Source organism: Homo sapiens, chromosome X (assembly GCF_000001405.40).
Source record: "Homo sapiens chromosome X, GRCh38.p14 Primary Assembly".
NCBI classification, from domain to species: domain Eukaryota; kingdom Metazoa; phylum Chordata; class Mammalia; order Primates; family Hominidae; genus Homo; species Homo sapiens.
The window spans coordinates 148982902-149001955 of NC_000023.11; the positions used below are offsets into that span (position 1 = coordinate 148982902).

The 19054-nt window shown below is 40.7% G+C and overlaps 1 protein-coding gene across 6 annotated transcripts in view; it reads left to right on the forward strand.

Annotated features, from left to right (window-relative positions):
* Nucleotides 1-17762, forward strand: part of AFF2 (ALF transcription elongation factor 2) — a 500047-nt gene extending 482285 nt beyond the window's left edge. For all 6 annotated transcript variants that reach the window (NM_002025.4, NM_001169124.2, NM_001169123.2 and 3 more), the window contains 2 exons: nt 4466-4656; nt 8310-17762. In NM_002025.4, the coding sequence (NP_002016.2) occupies nt 4466-4656; nt 8310-8431 (313 nt within the window). In that variant the 3' untranslated portion in view covers nt 8432-17762. The remainder of the gene's footprint in view (nt 1-4465; nt 4657-8309) is intronic.

The following is a 19054-nucleotide window of genomic DNA, read 5'->3' on the forward strand; positions in this document are numbered from 1 at the left end:
AACAAATTTTCACAAAATTTTTACTGATAAGATTCAAAATATAATAACAATTACATATAATTTTTGAAATACAAGTCTATTGGTGAGAAGAATGTAAATCTTTTTCATAACATTTTGCTTAATTGGGGTTCAAAGTTAGTGTTCCCTCTCAACAAATCGATTGCAAATGTTCATCTTTCGCAAACTATTCAGAGCTTACAGCCCATACAGAAACACAAGATGGGCCAGATTTGCTGACTCTTGACACAGGGTTCTGGAATCCACATTGTGGAGAGTTTAAAAAGGCTGAGCAACAATTTCGAATGTCACAGAGAGATAATAAAAAGAAAGAAGCTGGGCAAACATGGATGGCAGGACTTTGAGGTGACATGGTGGAATGGAAAGAGAATGAAGAGAATGGGCTTTGGAGGAAAATGGACCTGCTATTAGATCCTGGCTTTTTGGCTCTCTGGGCTCTGTGGCCCTCAGGACGGAGCTGAACTTCTCTGAGGCCAGAAACAGTGGCAGCAGAACTTTCCCTGCAGAGTTATGGTGAGGCTTGGACAGAATATTGGTGAAGCCCTGAACTATGCTTGGCACATAGAGACTGTGCAACAAATGATGGCTGCTGCAGCTACTGTTGCCATGATTACTGTTGTAATTGTTACCTATTTAAGTTAGAAAAGATAATGATCCTACCTCTAGAATTCCCACAGCACTTGGTTAGCACCACAGTTTTGGCACTTACTCCAGATTGCCAGAAAAGAATGTAATTTGCTCCTCTAGTATACTCTTTGCTCTTTTGCAATAAGTAGCCATCCATCCTATCATTCCCCAAATATTTATTGAGTGCCTACCTTGTGTGAGACACTCTGCCAGGCCTTTTGTAGACATATCCCCTATCCTCATGCTATATATGCTCTTCTCCTTCTACCTTCCAGAGCGCTTTATATGTAGTAGATACTAAACAAAGAATAGAAGCAAGTCATTCATTTATTCAGCTGGTGTTCATTGAGAACATATACGCCAGACACTGTTCTAGATACTGAAGTATGGCACAGAGTGAAATAGACAAAAAAAAAAAAAAACTGCCCTCATCAAGGTCACATTCTGTTGAAGGAGAAAGATAACAACAAACATGTGGCATACTAGGTTGTGGGAAGTGTCATGGAGAAAACTGAAACAAGGAAGGCAGGCAGAAAGGGCTGCTGAGGATAGGGGAGGGAGCAGTGGTACCATGCTGAATCTTGAGTAGGGATTTTAGAGAAGGATGATGGTAGAGAAAGCCATGGCAATGCTGGAGGAGTTTCTTCCAAGCATAGGGATGGCAGCTGCCTCTGAAGCAGGAGGGAGCATGCCTGACAAGTTCAAGGAACAGCATGGCAGAGTGTGGCTTAGAGGTGAGAGGATGGTGGGTTGGACCAGGGTGGTAGTGGCGGAAGTGGTGGGAAGCATGTGCTTCTGTGTGCATGCTCATTTGCATGTGCCATGGAAATGTGGAAAAAAGGGTGAGATCTGCAAGCAGATACACACAAAGAACAGGAAGGGAAACCCCACGCAGTGATGAGAGCTAAGTCAGAGTTGGAGAGCACACTGAAGTGAGTGGGCCCTGCATCAGCCCTCTCTTAGCCACAGTCACAACTTCTTAGGCAGGTTTTCATTTAATGAGCACAAGGTAGTGTGCAGACATGTGCATCAGAATATGTCAGACCTTAGAGCCTGGTGTGAGAACAGTAACAATTGAAAACAGACACTTATCCTAGCTGTTCTTGCCTCCACCACTGAGTATTTAAAATAAATAAATTAGAGAATAGTAGGGAGAAAAGTCCCCAATAACACTTCAGTGTAATAAAGTAAAAAGGGCTTTTCAAGATGTATGTGGTAAAGAGAGATGATTTGGTTTCTCCTGTGACTCCTGGACATGATTGGAAATCATTGAATCCAACCTTTTCTTGCAGTCAAGAAAAGTAAGGCCAAGCAAGGAGAAGGGATATGCTCAGGGGCACACAGCAATTTTATGGCAGGGCCAGGGCTAGAGTCCACATCTCCTGGGATTCCAGCACCTCTTTCCCTGCACCATGTGGTCTCTCTTTCCCTTTTGTTTTCTTTTTTTCTGTCTTTTTTTTGGGAGATGGAGTCTCACTCTGTCACCCAGGCTGGAGTGCAGTGTCTTGGCTCACTGCAACCTCTGCCTTCTCAGATCAAGTGATTCTCCTGCTTCAGCCTCCCAAGTAGCTGGGACTACAGGCGTGTGCCACCATGCCCAGCTAATTTTCGTATTTTTAGTAGAGACGGGGTTTCACCATGTTGGCCAGGCTGGTTTTCGAACTCCTGACCTCAGGTGATCCGACCCCCTTGGCCTCCCAAAGTACTGGGATTACAGGCATGAGCCCCTGTGCCTGGCCTTTTTTTTTTTTTTTTTTTTTTTTTTTTTTTTTTATGATACAGCCTTGCTCTGACTCCCAGGCTGGAGCACAGTTGTGCGATCATGGCTCACTGCAGCCTCAGTCTCCTGGGCTCAAGCAATCCTCTCGCTTCAGCCTCCCGAGTAGCTGCAACTACAGGCACACGTCACATGCCTTTCTAACTTCTTTCGACATTTGTGGCACATGACAACTTTGTCATTTTCTCTAAGAATTACAGACGAGAAAGTCTTTCTTTCTTGCCATAAATTGACATTTAAGAGTTAATGACTAACACTGGGGAAAAAGACTAGGAAATAGCTTTTGCAACCTACCACAACAAAGAAACCCAGCTTTCACTGCCTTTTTGTCATTTCACTGTCTTCTGTGCCTAGACCCCTTAGCTTGGACATCTCCTCATCCCACTCCTACCTTAAGAATAAATCTTTCTATCAAGAAGTGACGAAGTAGCTCAGAAATTATAAACATAGCAGAAACACTCTCGAACCCATTCACACCAGACAAGCACAGAGCAAGTGTGAGGATGAACTTGCTCCCTCAGACCAGACCAGAACATACCAGAAAATAGATGGTTTGCAGAAATGGTCCAACTCTGTCCTATAGCTGTAGGCACAGCCTGTGTGAGTCTCAAGAGCATTGCAGTTGTAATTGTTCCCAGATCTAGTCAGCAGCATTTCAGCATTTTGGTATGCTACAATTGCTGTTTCCCCAAATCATCTGTATGTGCTGCCCGTCAGGGTGCACATCTGTTCTGGGAGCCACACTGGAAAACTAGAGTTGCCAACAATAGCAACTGGTAAGGGGGTGGGGGGTGGGGCAGAAGACAGAGTTCCTTGATTGTGTGATAAGGTGTGTTCAGAGGAATAATGAAGAGATTCTTTCAAACATGCAGACTCATGGAGTCCTAAAGACATCTTCCCTCCATTTCATTTACTCACTCATTATGTTCTGTCCTGAAAAATTGATGCGTTTGCCTGGGCAGATGTTCATAGTGTGACTGGAGGAGGAGAGAGAACCAGAGGGGCACACAGACCTTGCTTTAGTGACTGTTCCTGGGCAAGCCTTCAGGTTCCTTAGGTAGCCAGATCTAACCCTGGGCCCTGGAAGAAAAACGACCCCCATGCTGTATACAGCCAGCAGGTGACTCCTTGTTGCGAATATTAAAGAATATAATGAAAATGTGTGTCTAAACACTGGTACTCTCTGAAGTGGAAACCCTGAAGACTTCTTTTTATAAATCAGCATGCAGGTAAATAGTCAGCAATTAACAGCCCATCTCTGTAGCATGTCTTAAAGAATCCTAAAGAGAGAGAATACTACTTTTCCCAGCTTCCCAAATACTGCTCCTTGGGGGGCTGTAAGAATTGCACTTTGCTTATTGTGGTAACAGTATTTGGAGCAAACTGACATTGTGGTTTCCACAAAACACTTTGATGATAGACCAATATTGGACATCAAGTGTTTTCTAACTGCTGATAGCCGTTCCAGCAGCAGGTAGAGAAATCATCATAGCTCTGAGCTGTTTCTTTCTCTGAAACATCACAACACTTGTTATATGTATTCAAAGGAAGAGCTATATTTGTGGGTAGAATTAATGCCAGAGAAATATCCACCCAGCCCTCTCTGGTATTTGAAGACAAAAGCAGTGGTGTGCATGGAGCCCTCGGTGGTGGTCAAAGGCAGTGGAGACTTTGGTGTTTAATGTTAGAAAAGAAGAAGAGTGGGCCTCATTCTATAGTGTGGCACTGTAGCTCTGGGTGGCTTGGTCAGATGAGGCAGGTATGGGGTGGTAATAATCTCTGTATCCACTAGAGCCCCTGGAAAAAGCTATTGTGTTGACAAAAGCTATTGCATTGACAAAAGCTGTAGCTGTACTGTGAGAAGAGTCAGTGGGATGTCAGAACAAGCTCCACTCTGATGGGGCTTCACATGTGTACGCTATGCTAAACTTCACTCCAGCAAATGGCATTCTGATGAGATCCCAGCGTGATGGGGAAGGCCTAGAACCCCACTGTCACTCTTTCCTACCAGCCTAACAAGGCTTGTCTCTTTCCATTTCCCAGGAACACTCCATCCCCAGTGTCTCTCAACAACGTCTCCCCCATCAACGCAATGGGGAACTGTAACAATGGCCCAGTCACCATTCCCCAGCGCATTCACCACATGGCTGCCAGCCACGTCAACATCACTAGCAATGTGTTACGGGGCTATGAACACTGGGATATGGCCGACAAACTGACAAGAGAAAACAAAGGTATGCTCATCTGTTCTACCCATATAGCTCACAGACCATGATGGAGTTAACTTCACTTTGAAGGACTTGAGTTGTACTTGGTGGCCTTATATCTTTCTGTCTCTCTGATTTCCAGAACTTAGATAAGGGAAGACAGAGTTCGCTCAGGGCTGACACAGTGACCTATTATTCCTGAGAGCATAAAAAAGCCCCGGAATTTTGTCCTCCTTTAAAGCTTAAACTCATTTGAACTGTGATGTGTTTTGAATTTCACTCACTGACAAAGATCAACACAGAGAAACAGAGGCAAAGACAAAAATAATGGTTTACAATTAATTATGACCCTGTTGGCTCCTGTTATTATTGTTATTATTATTTTTTTGAGAGGTGAGGTTGAACTAAGGCCTTCAACCTTCAATATAATTATTAGCTCCAGTTGAGTACACGATAACGCAGCTTGCATTTGGAAGCAAGGGCCAAAGTTCAGCTAGTACTTTTCACACACCGATGGCTGGGATGAAGAATCAGGGTGCTGTTCATGATGACACTTGAACTTTGCTACAAAACAAATGCAAAGAGGACCCTGCTTTACCAGAGTGAATCCGTGGTCTTTGGTGACTCATGCAGACATCTGTGACCTTAGCTGTCATTGAGGATCACAACAAAGCCTCACTACCCTAATGAAGGTGGGAAGTAAAATTAAACTGCACATTTGTCTCAGCCATTCATTTGACTTGGCTGATTCTGGCCCAGCAGTCACAGACTGCTCCACACCAGTCAAGGTGGGGACAAATGTGGGCTACCCATTACTACTGTATCGCTGAGCATGTGGGGAAACCATCTCATTGGAATAGGAAGGATGCAGATTTTGCAACCCAATCATTTAAGTTTGAATCCTACCTGGGTCATGCATTACCTAGGCAACCTAGGCAAGTTAATTAAATCTGTGAGCTGCTTCCTAGCTTCTGTCTCTATAATGGACGTAATGGTGATGATGATGGTGAAACGTCCCAGATGGATGATAGAGATGGGTTGAATTAAATAATGGGTGTAAAGCACCTAGTATAAAATTCTGAGTTCAAGGTAGAAATTCTACAAAGATTTATTATCTTTCCTTACTCCATAATATTATGTATCTATATAACTCAAAGATTTTGTGGCTCACAAAGCACATTCCATAATTTGAGACCTCACCCCTCAACGCAGCTATAAATTTACACTGACTCCTGGGAATATCTGCATGTATTGGTTCCACAGGTTTGTGCAGCAATTTCTATGTGCCAGGAACTGCACTATTGCTTTATCATTTGTTGTCTCATTTGCCCTTATTTCATACATGAGGAAACTGAGGCTCTATGAGATTAAGAAACTCACCCATGTTATCACAGCTCTTGCTTGTTAGAAGCAGAAATCTAGAAGTGTCTGATTCCAGAGTCTCATTTCTTAATCAATAGGCTACACTGCCCATCTAGAGAGCAAGATTAATGACAGGTCCTCAGAGACCTTTGGTGAGATCCCAAACCAGTTATCTGAGCAATGGATAATTATTAAATTGTCTACTTTTCTACACCTCTGGAAACTCAGAGACAACTGGCCTATACAACCAGACTCATCCAGGGGTTCTAGAATTGCAAGTGAAGATAGACACATCTTAAGATTTGCCTAGCATGTCTGCCTCTGCTATTTCTCTCTTATTTTGTATTAGTAACTGGAGGGCAGTTCAATATTTATGGATTTCCTTTATCATTGCATCCATTTTCAAAATCTGTTAAAAGTATTTCCTTCTAAATTAACTAACTTCAGAACTTTCCAGGAGCAATGTGATGGCTGTGCTGATGTTAGGGTGAAATGGTGTTAATCTTGTCATTAGCACAGTGTGTCAAAGAGTTGCTAAATTCCCTGTGTCATCTTGAATGAAAACAACTCCGTCACTCTACCAGCAGAGAGAAAATGTGTCCTGTTAATGCTGTCATTGGGGTTTTCAGCGGACTGGGGAGAAGACTAGTGTGAAATCTTCTGCTCAAAGCCTGGAGTTTCATACTTTGTCATTTCTGATCTACTTAGCTTTGGGGATTCTATTCACATCTACCTTGTCTACATAGAAAAGAGAGAACTGAAGAGCTTCCCTTTTGGTTGCAGCTCTGCATCTCACTGGAGACAACCACGTATTTGCACGTTTTTTACCCAGTGGAGATGGGTGAAGTTGGTTCTCCCAGTGAAAGGTCTCCACTCCTGCCTCATACTGCCCACAATGCAGCTGCAGATGGCTTATTGTAGAAGGTTCTGGTGCTGAAATGAGCCAATGGCACTTATGCTGCCCTCTGGCCTTTGGTCTAGAAGCTTACCTGCCCAGCTGCTTATACTGCTCATTTGGAGCAGTTATTAAAATGGTGTCTAATTAAGAATGCCACAGAGAGCTTTGTACAGAATACCCAGGGAACATCCTGGCTCATATGAGGCTCACATTCATTCAACAATGACTAGGTCCTTAAATGTTTTCCTTAATACTGTATTACATAGGAAAATATTTTAGATGCCAGAAATAATTTACTCTTTTATCAGCAGAAATTATTTTATTGCATAGTACAGGTTAAAAAGTATCATATAATCAAATGAGGTTGACACCTAGAGAAGGATCCCATATGTTATATATAACATGAAGAGTAAATGCATTGTTTGATGAAATTCCATCTGCTGAGCAATCAAGCACATGTAACCCATGCATGGAAATCACTTTCCAAGAAGGCAGGAGAGCATCCCACGTTAGGGCAGTCTCCAGTCCTATCCCCTCACCCCACCCCCTGACACGGATTCCTTGCTGCCAGCCAGCACATAGCTGAGGCTGCTTCCTTTGCCAGAGAGCTCTCTCATAACTAAGTGCCAGGCAAATGAATTCGTACATGAAAAGGGAACACCTAGCTAGTTTTTAGAGATCATATAGTTTTTCCCACATAGTACTTCTATCGCCTAAGGCAGACGTTCCAAAACTCCAGTCGCGCTAGTTAGTAGTGTAGCCTCAGGGCTGCCCCCTTCCCTAAGTGAACCAAGGGGAAATCAGCTGGGCATTCTTACCATTAATGTCCTAGGTCAGGGGCTGGAAAAGTTGTTAAGTGACAGATACTTGCAGGCCATTTTCCATCCCCAATGAAATTGGTAAGAAGACTTACAGAATCAAATTCCTCCTAGATGTTTATTTAGCTGTGGAGGCTGACGGCTACTATTAATGTCCAGATTCATGGGCCTTGTCTAGACCATGCCAAGAAAACTCAGTAAACTCGGTTCATTTAGACAAAAGGAAAAGAGGATATTTTCAATTCATTAACACATTGAATGACAAACAGCTTGACATTAGATAGACCATGGCTCCCTACAATTTTGTGTAGAAATACCCTTTTCTAAATATAAATGTATAATCTATGAAAACATAAATGTATTATGTACTGCAGAGTTTTTGGAGCTCACTAAAGATTAAAATAATAGGGCTTGATAAACTTGTGGAGTTTTGGTCTCCTAGTAGGCACTCTATAAATGTTTGTTGAATGAATGAATGGACAAATGAATCACATTTCCATTGTCCATGTGGTTGTGGTGTTGTGTGAAAGCAGCTTCTCAATGTGGTGCATATTTTCATGATATCATATAAAGGCCTAACTGAGAACTGCTCTGCTTTTCAGAATTCTTTGGTGATCTGGACACGCTGATGGGGCCTCTGACCCAGCACAGCAGCATGACCAATCTTGTCCGCTACGTTCGCCAAGGACTGTGTTGGCTGCGCATCGATGCCCACTTGTTGTAGTGGGTGTTCTCAGATCTCTAGCATCACGACCCATCACTCTACCTCTACCAGCGCACTGATGGTCACTGGTGGAACTCCACTCACTGGGGAACGTTCTCTTTGGTTATGTTTGTTTTTATGCTTCTTTTGTTATCTGTAAAAAACAGAAGTCATTGTAAGTTGACACTACAACTTAAGGGCAGTGTACGTTTTATTACTTAGTCATTTTTTTTCTTTTAGCATTTGATATGCATTTCTCAGATTCCACCATCTTTTTGTGCTTTATGGAATGACAGTCCCTACAATATTGTTTTAAGCCCACACTACCCAAAACAAAGAATGGGAAGCACTTGTGATAAAGACAGGCTCCTGAGAAATGCAACAAGTGGTCTTACATATACATGAGAACTTAGACACAAGGGACCATCCCCCAAACTCTACTCTTATACCCAGAAAAGAACATATTTCAGAATCTGTCAAACTTTTGTGTATCCCACAGATTCAATCTTCAGGTGAGAATTTTCATTGTCAAAACCCACTGGTTAGATGTTGTAGCAACATCATAAAATCAAGAGTATCAAGAAAATAAATGAGCATAGCAATGCTACTCTTAAAAAGATGCTATGCCACACAACCAGAGGACTTTCTTGTTAGCATCCCTTTCCTGATTCCCTATTTTGTTAATTTTAATGATAAGAAGAAAGGGTGACATTTATTTTGACAAGTTTTAGGCATCAGCTGGCATCAGTGTTTTTCAACTCCATTATTTGAAGTGTAAATCCTCACCTGGGGTTCTCTGTGTGCAAAGCTGTCCTTTTGAAGAACAGTTTGGTTGATGCATGCCTTAGTAGCCAAAATGCTACACTCTAGACTTACAAGTGGGAGTTAAGAGAGGTCTGGAAAGTGTCCAACAAGGAATTCACACCTCTGCCTCCTTTGCAACAACAACATTTACACAGTTGGTAAGTGGGTCCATAACTGGCAGGATTTTTAAATTGTATTTTGCTCAAATCTATGGGAACAAAAGTCAAGGTATCACTACCTAGAAGTAATGATATACAGTTTTCTTCCTAGTGGCTTGAAAATCTGGACTTCCTCAATTATTATTCACATTTTCTCTCTTATAGGTTTTCTGTTTTCTACTTTCTTTTTTCTCTTATCTGTGTTTCCCTTTCCTTTGTTTGGCTCATTAACTTTTGACTGAATTACAATTACTCCTTTTATTAAAGTCCATATTATTGTGAATCATTTCCATGAAAATTTCTAAGAAAACTCCAAACTCTCTAAATAGTAGCTAACTTTTATTTTTTTAAAATGAGTCGTGGGGTAGTGCTTCACCTTGAGATGCTTTGAAAGAGCCCTAAACATTGGGAACCATTCACCTAATTTGGAGACATTTCTCACTGGTTGTGACTACCCCCTTATGATCCTTCACATTCATTTTATGTCCCTAAACATCACAATGTAAATATCATTTTTGATGTTCCAGCTCACCAGAAGATTCTTACACTTGGGGTAAACACTATCCATGCATTACTTACTGGTAATTACCTGCTGGTATATAATTCCATGTAGCCTTTAATATGCTGGGTTATCAAATTCTGTTCACTGAGTTATGACCAGATAAATAATAGATATGCACATGAAAGATGCAAACTTGTGTGATTATTAAAGCCAGCCATGCAGGTCCATGATAGAAACAGCAGGTGATGACTCTGCACTCTCATTGTCAAGGTTAGATATATCCCCAGTTGCAAAACAGCCAGACTTGAGCTGTGCTCTGGTCATCTTTGAGTTTAAGGCCTTTTGTTGTATAAGGCTGTGGAAGTTGTACTCCAATGGCTGAAGCCATGTTGTTAATATGGCTGATGGGAGCATCCCTGCAGCTGAACCCAGCACTTTTTATGCTCCCACTGTGGTTGAGCTTTATGTTTACAGTCTCAGCAACAACACTTATGCATCCAAACACTCACAAATGAAACCTGAAAGAATCTTTTCTGAGCCTCTTAAAAGAGGAAAATGATGATAACATTAAAGACTCTGAACACCCAAGGTTGGTGTCACATATAAAAATTAAGCTGATGACTTTGCAGTGACTCAAGTTGTCTCTTTATCATGGTTTACCAGGTAGAGTGCCTGGCTATTACTATATAATGAAGCCCACTGGCTTGACTTGTAAGTTCAACCTAAACCACAATCCTAGACCATCATGGATTTAGGAGTAGATTCTTCTTGAAATCCCACATCCAGAAACTAGACATTAGAATGTTGAGGCAGTTTCCCAGAGAAACAAGCATATTGCCTCATGGATGAAAGACTTGTAGTTCTAGTTTCAGTGACTTGTTATATCTACTTACATACAACAGGGAGGCAAGAGGATTCTCTGTCATCTCTGGTGACTGAGTGTAAAATATGTGCCAAGTCTGCAGCACAGTGACCAAATCTGACAATCGAGCTCTGGATCACCACTTGATTATGTAGTAGACTCATTTATAAAGCAGCTTAGGAACTAATTAAACATGGAGGATGAATTACCTTCCTATCCCTTGAGATAAGACATCTTTCAGTTTCATGATTAAGGATTGTTGCTGTTTTATAGTTACTCTGTTCATCACAGTGTAAATGGTGATGCGTGTCGTAGGTGTGCAGCTATTTGAGGGACTAAGGGATGGAGATATTCTGTCAAATGAATCTCTTCAGTATACCAGTTTGTGGGAGGGATATGAGACATGTGGATGGCAGTGAGAGATCGTGCCTCTAGATCTTGATGGAGGCTTGGTGAGACACACTTAAATAAGCACGTGGAGGTTAGAATAGAGGGCAGAGTAAAAGGAAGCTCCATCTGAGCAAGTACACCAAATGATCTCAGCCCTGCAACTTGACCCAGGTAGGGCCACCACTACGCCTTCACTTGTCACCCAAGCTCCAACCACAGAGAGTTTGACAAGTTTGTGTTATGATGTTGGCTTGGCTTTGTATTTTTAATTAACTTTGGATTTTTAGTGGTTTTGTCATATAACTGTCTGAGTTTGGTAGGTAGGATTACTTTGAAAAGGGTTTACTAGTGTGGTCCTCCGGGTAGAATTTAGCTGTAAGCATGTTGTTAGCCAGCCTGTAGACTGTTAATTACTTAATAATCTCATTGGGAAAATACTAGTAGTTTTATATTTGGATGACATAATTGGAAAAGCAGATTAGCTGCTACTACTTTTAAAAGACTTAAGGTCGGGATGCCTTTTTTTCCATGTAAGGAAATGAAAAGACCAAAATCTTCAGGCAAAAAGCAAGTTGCAAAATTAGAAACCATTGGCTAAAAATGTGTTTTGTTGAGTTTCCAAATGGATGAATTTTCATTTGGACATTACATCACTAAATTCATTAGATTTTGTCTGCATTGGAAAGATACTCTTCTAGCATATCTTTCCCAAAGATATCTAATTTGGATTCTGTTTCATGCAAATTTGCATCCCGGAGGTTGAAGTTGGAGTTTGAGGTTGGAAAATATCTTTGAAGGCAGAATCAGTTGAGTTGTGAGGGTGAAGCCTCACATACTTCTCAACAGACATGATAAAATTCACCTGCATGAGTTGGCAGGTGGGAGAACCAAACTGGATCACTGGGTAAGACTACTCAGTAAAGCAATGAACTGCTTGCTTAGAGAAGCATCACTATCCCCATTGAGAAAAATGTGTGGCAAGATGATACAGCTACACAGTATCAAATGAATGGGTCAATTCAGCACCCCCAAATTTAATTCTGTGGGGAAAAATTATTGAGCCAGTTGTCAGTGTTCTGTTACATGACTGGCAGACTAAATTCTTCATCGTTGTTGTTATTGTTGTTGTTGTTTCTCATTTTCACTCGCACGGCCTTATTCTCATAATTAAAATCTAATTCATTTTCTCTTTAGTGTTAGTAGACTCCAACAACAGAAGTGGCATCTGTGTATTCATAATCAGCATTTACCCTGGCAGGAGACTAATCAGATAGGCCGGTCTCAGACATTAATCCTACCATCTGATATTTTTGGTGAAGGAAAAAGTATTAATTCTCTTTCCATCCTCCTCCTCAGAAATATAGAAGCCCTCTTTACCAAAATCATCACATTTTACTCTGTAATCTACCAGCTAAAAGAAAATTGCATTGTGGGGAGGGCAGAAAGGGGGTGGGGGTGGGGGCGGGGGGGTGGGGGGTGGGGAAGCCCCACAAAGCCAGATTGCAGTTCTTGCCCCTTTTTGCGTCTGACATGAGATGTTAAAGAATTATTCATAGTGCTCACATTGGGTTAGGGGACACTGAACTGCTTTTTAGATCCATGATCAGTCATCATTCTTCTAAGAGATTGGAGCTTTGCTGTTTCATTAACTGTGCAGTGTAGACTAATGGTGTTTAATAAAAATCATTCAAAATTTCAAACTCTTTTGCCAGTGACCTCAATTTTGTTGGCTCTGTGATTTGTATCAGACTTTGAGGAGGGAAGGGGGAAGTGAAGGAAGCCTACGTCCAGGCCCCTGACAGGATGCTGCAGTAGCAAGCTCAAGCTCGCCTGCCTGCCAGCAGTTGCTGGTGAGCAGCAGCATGCAGACCAGCTGTGGGAAGCCTCCTGAAGAATGCCCCAGCTGATGCTTTCAGCTGGGAATAGTTTGTTCCTATTGGGGAACTCATTGTTCTCCAGTCTCTGCAGCAGGAAGCCAGCTGTCATATTCGGAGGGAATTTCAGATGCTTTACCTTTTTGGTTTTGTCCTGCATCACTCATGTGGCTACGAAAGTGTCTCTGAGAATAGAGCCCAATGTGGTGACAATGGGTAGTCAAATGCACCCCAGATGCTCAAGCCCTGTTGTGGTTCTGCAGTGTTTATGAAATTGGGAGGAAGGAGACCCTGGACAGTAAGCAAAATTGGAGACACTCCAACGAGGCTAAGTTAATGCCGTGTTGCCCAGAACAAGATCTAGCTTCTCATTTGGTCAGCCTAGCATGCAACCAGTGGTGTGCTGGTAAAATGTTTAACAACCAGCTCGCTGAGAATAGAAAGCACCTGGTTTGCACCATTTGCCAATTTCCATGGCATAAATACTACCACTTTAGATGATTTTAAGCTACCAACTGTGATGTCACTGAACACATGGTTGGAAAGAGATGCACGCAGTTGGCTCTTGCAAGCCTGGGCAAAAATGCTTCAACACGCCACTGGATGCAGCCAGTCAGAGGGTTCATATTTAATATATGTGTTCATGTGGACACACACAGACACACACACACAAACTCACCCTTACACACACACTTCGATGACTAAAACAATTACATAGTTTTAAGATATGAATCAATGTGTGAATGTAGAAAGCTTATGATAAGGCCCTAGAGGTATGGGTTGCCCTGGAAGCCTAGGTTTTAAGCAGGAGAATAGCTGAGAAGAATGAAGCCCTCCTGAGCTGAAAGGAGAGATGGATCAATGGAGATGGTTCCATCATCTCCTTCCATATCTCACAGGTAAAATGGGCACTCAGAAAACCCTCACGATTGATTTTTTAAAAAGATAAGTGAGTGTTTTTTATTTTATTATTATTGTCATCATTATTTTGATTTACAAATGCTATTTGTAACTTTTACATGTAACTAGGATAAAGTATTTACGGGAACTCTATGGAGAATAGCACAATCCAGAATTTACTGTGTTTTTCTTTTATGTGACGTGGAAACTCAGTAATTCTCCCACCTTCACATTGTTGTTCATAAGAATTTTACTTTAGTTATTAGGGAATCTAAGTTTTTTGTTAACATTTGTTTTTAGTTAAAAGTATCTACTTACTGTTTTAGCTCTGAACTCAAACCAGAATATCTCTGTATCAATTGCATGACTATTCAGAAACAATAATCCAAACCAAAATAATTCTTTTTCCACCCAGTACGAAGAAAACTAAGCTCAGTAACAAGAAGGCATAAACTAAAGTATATAATGAGGCTTTCATTAAATACACACACACACACACTCACACACACACACATACACTTTTTAAATTTTTAAATTAGGCCTCCACACATAAATCATTTTGAAAGTAGAATAGAAAATCTCAAAGAATTCATTCTCCTGGTCCTGTGCATCTTCTGCAGTTAATAAGAGGTTTGTATCTGGAAAGATGGAAGAACTTGTTCTAAAATCTTATTTTTCAAAAAAAAATTTCCATTTTCTCTCTGGGCCTGTATCCATGGTTGAATGTTAGCCCTGGAGGAGATCCATGTCTTACTCGCTCTTTCTGGCCCTTCTGTCTTTTGCCTCTGCAATTCTTTTTGTAGCTGGCACGATAGCAGGGACTGGGGGTCTATCCTTTCATGGTATTGCTACAATATTTGTCCTTACTGGAAAATGGTAACATCCGGGTCTGATTTAATTGGCATTACACTTACACAGGGACTCTGAGCACCCCCGTCACCACACCAGACAGTGGACCAGTTTTCACAGCTACAAAGAGCTAGAAATGTGTTTAACATCATCCAGTGCATCCCCTAATTCAAAACCATCCTCACTAATCAATCATATTCACCCATAAATATTACAAATGAGATTGATTCCATCTCAAGACAATTTGTCAAATACTTAATTTTCTTCCTGGATGATTCTACTTACTGGATATTTTAGAAAGAGAAATGTCTGAGATAAAATCCCTCACATTTACTCAATATAACAAATTACTGTTTCTACTCCTATTCTGAGTAGTGCTTCTGAAGATTGTTTGCTGTAGTGTTGTCTTTGATAAAATGAATGTCAGTAGTGAGCCTTTTAGAGATACCATGCTCAGAAATCCTCTTTGGGATCAGAAGATACCTAAAATTCTCCCCTTTTGCCCACTTGGTTAGATGAGTGATATATTCTTTGGATCCTGCAAAGAAGAGATTGGTTTATTTTCTTTTCTGGTGGTGGTAGTGGTTGTATCTGTGGCTGTGATGGTTGTTGTTACTTGTCTCTCTCTCTCTCTGGCTCTGGCTTTTGCTTTCCTGCTAGTGTTCTTTCTCTTTCCAAACAAATAGTTAAATTAAATGTGAGCTTCTGAATTGTACTTGTTCATACTTTCAAAACATAACAGATTAATAAAAATAGATGTGTCCTGATTTAAAACATGCCCCCTGGAAAGGCATGCTGTATTATGAAATCGTGATAATATAACTGCATTATTACATGGCAGTATAAATATTAGTCTGTTGAATTCATTTGTCCAATTGTATAACTTTGTGGAGCAGTGTTTTGACCTTTGATACATAATTCTGGAGCAAGTGGAGTGGTTGCAGGCAGATGAGACAGTGTTATATCAGGATTTTTCAATCAACTTTAGTTGGAGGCCTGGCAATTACAAACATCTTCAGATGTTTCTGTAACCATTATAAATATGAAAAAAACCTCTTCAAAAAATTTCCCATAGTACTTCAGTCAAGACTTTTTAGGTTTATCTTTTTTTTTTCATTTCTCCTTTTCCTTTTCCATTATTTTTCGATGGGGGGGTTGTTATCATTGACTGAAGAAATATTTTGATTGCAATGGTCTCTCTCTCTCTCCCCCTCTCTCTCTCTCTCCTCTATTCTTTCCTCCTTCCCTCTGTCCATCACCCCTCATTAAAATATTGAAATCTGGAGTCTTTGATAAATCTGCATTAGACCAGGCTATATGCTAGGAATGAAATCTGGGCAAATATCGATGGGTTTTCAAAGAATGCTCCATGTTCATTGGGCCCTTTCACACCCCACAGTGATAAATGAAAAGGATAGAGGTAGTTTTTTCAAAAGAGCACTTTAATAATATCCTCTGAGACCTAATGCAGTTTAACAAATGACTCCACCTATTTTTCCAGTAGGTAAATTGACTGAGACTTGCAAAATACCCCTGAGAGTTGTCAGGGGTGTCTTCTGCCTGGTCTATAGCGTGTGTGTTTGCTTTGTATCTAACAGGCACATTCACGTCTCGTGTACTCATATGAAGTATTTCCTAACATTCCCATTAGCCTGTATATAAGAATCAGAAAGATAATCCCAACATGTTGTAAATGAAGATGTGACTCTATAACCTTTCTCTTCTTCCTGGAAAAAAAAGGACATTTTCATGCATATTTTAAACAGAAATTTTGTATATTTAAGTGTCATAGAAAATATTTATTGAGTAACTGGGACACAAATGGGAATTTAATTGTCATCATATGCTTTGTGTGTGGGGATGCTTACCAACACCATGTCGCTGGACCATTGTGGCAAGCCATAACTGCACAAAGAGTACACATCGTCAGTGTGTGTGTGTGTGTGTGTGTGCGCGCACACACGTGCGTGTGTGTGTCCCTGCATGTGCAACATGTCTAGCTTGCTGTCCTTCATGGGATTTTAGCTTTCCCTTCTTGAAAAACATTATTTTACAGTTCCAGGAGGCCCTGGTTACATTACTATATGAAGGCAGTGATTTGAAATGAAAATTCCTTTCCTCTTGGAAGCTTTGGTCATAATATCATGGTTCAATTAAACGGATTCCACCGGACTTTGTGATGAAAAAGGCTCTGTTAAAATCCAATTGAGTTTCCAAGAGGAAATTGTAGTAGGTCAAGATGCATGAGAGGGAAGATGGAGGCCACCTCAACTGGAGAACATGAGCTGAGTTGAGCCCTCAGTGTTGAAGTTGACTTGCTCCAAGCTGCAGTCTAAAACCCTGGGGCCCGTGCCTGGCCTATGCTCCCTCCCAAGTAAGTAGAGGAGCAGAACCATCAGGAACAGCCTGCCTGGCTCCTATGAAGAAAACTTCCTGACGTCCTGTCCCCAAAGGAAGACCCTTTCCCCAAGGGCACCCCAGGTGGCCATTAAATTGTGATGATCATTCAGAAAGTGCCCCCTTGGCTTTATGAGAATCCAATTAGTCTTCTGAACCACCTTTTCTTGGGTGCAGATTTCCAACATTCATGCTCATTGCAGATCCACCAACTGTCACTGTTCTTAACAAGCATGCTCGTCTTGTCAGAATTTCAGTAAGTTCCAATTTCCTGTACAGACCAGGGTAAACTGTTCTAAAATCAATCAATTAATGAAATGTTATCTGGTTTTTAAAAGCTGGTTTCATGTGCTTTATGTGTATAAAACTATATCTGCCTGTGTGGCTTTGCATTTCAAATGTGTGGCGCACAAGCGTTTTGTTGGTGCTTTGTTCTCAGTACAGTAACTCTGTGTACAAACATTTTAATGTGGTTTTGTTGTTTTCCAACAAGATGTCTCTGTAAAAATGATATTGGCTGAGCTGGTGCGTTGGTTTCTCTCATAGAGGCATTAACTATACTGCCAATGCATTGAATTATTTAAAAATGCAAAATAAAATTTTTATGAAAATCTCATTTTAGACATGTAGATCATTCTGCTTAGAGACTTTCCAAGCCATAGTACCTTGTTATCAACTCTTCCACATTATAATACATAGCCAGTGCCCCCGCTTACATCAACAGCCATAAAACTGATGGCCATAAAGAAAATAACTCTCACAAAGCCAATTCATTTTATAAGAGAGACCCTTGGACCATCATTCAAAGCCCATTTAAGAGAAAATTGTAAAATATTAGTTATCTGGATTCCTAGTACACAGCACAAAAAGCTTGCAAAGTATAAAGTTATAACTAGTAGATGCTGACAAAAGAGAGAGAATTATAAAACTAGACTGAAAACTTAAAAACACAGCTGGCAATGGCCACTTACTGCAGGGGTATGCAGCCAGTAGCCCTGGAAGGACAGCACAAGCAATAATTTCGGGTCACAATAATGTCTGAAAGTCATCAGGAAAAGGTTAAGTATACTCTTAACTAACACAAAAACTCATGCCATATATGTTAGAACTGTTTCCTTCAAAAAGATTTCTGGACAGTTAAAGGGTAGGTTTCAGGTATCTAGAAATTTCATTTACATGAAATGTATTCTCTGGCCATGTAAAGTGAGGAATTGCAATGCTAAGACTACACGGCACAAAACACCTGTCAGTAAATGCAACATTAACAGCTTGGCTAGATTTCCTGTGAACAAATGAACTACACTTGGCTTGACCAGATATTTTGACTCTGCATAATCATAATCATAATCATAGTCCAAGTGTAAGCACGAATATAGCTAAATGTGATTGAAACTGATAGTTGTAATACCGCCACTGTGAATTCCAAATCCTTTCCAAAATGGAAAGGCCACAATATCTGTAAATATGAACATTTTTATTGTGAGATGATGGGGAAATATTTGAGCTGAGTAAATAGAGCTAAATGAATTATAAATGTGTTCTCAAGCAACCAAGTTGTTTTCTGCTTCTCTCAAAACAAACAGATACCATAAATGATGACCATGCCTGGGTAAAAGTATACACACATGCAGAGAAGAACTTAGAGGAAATATAGAGAATGACATTTTAAAAAATTAGGAGTGCTGGCATTATGCTAATTGATTAGTTTTTGTGACATTTACAACCAGTAAGGCACTACTGGCCAGGCACTGTTTTAGCACTTTCTTATATATTAATGCATGTAATTCTTGTAAAAGCCCTATGAGATAGGTACTAGTATATCTCTGTTGTATAGATGACAACATGGAGACACAAAGAGGTCTTCAGGAAAGCAACTTTCCTGAAGTCACACAGCCAGGTGCGTGACCC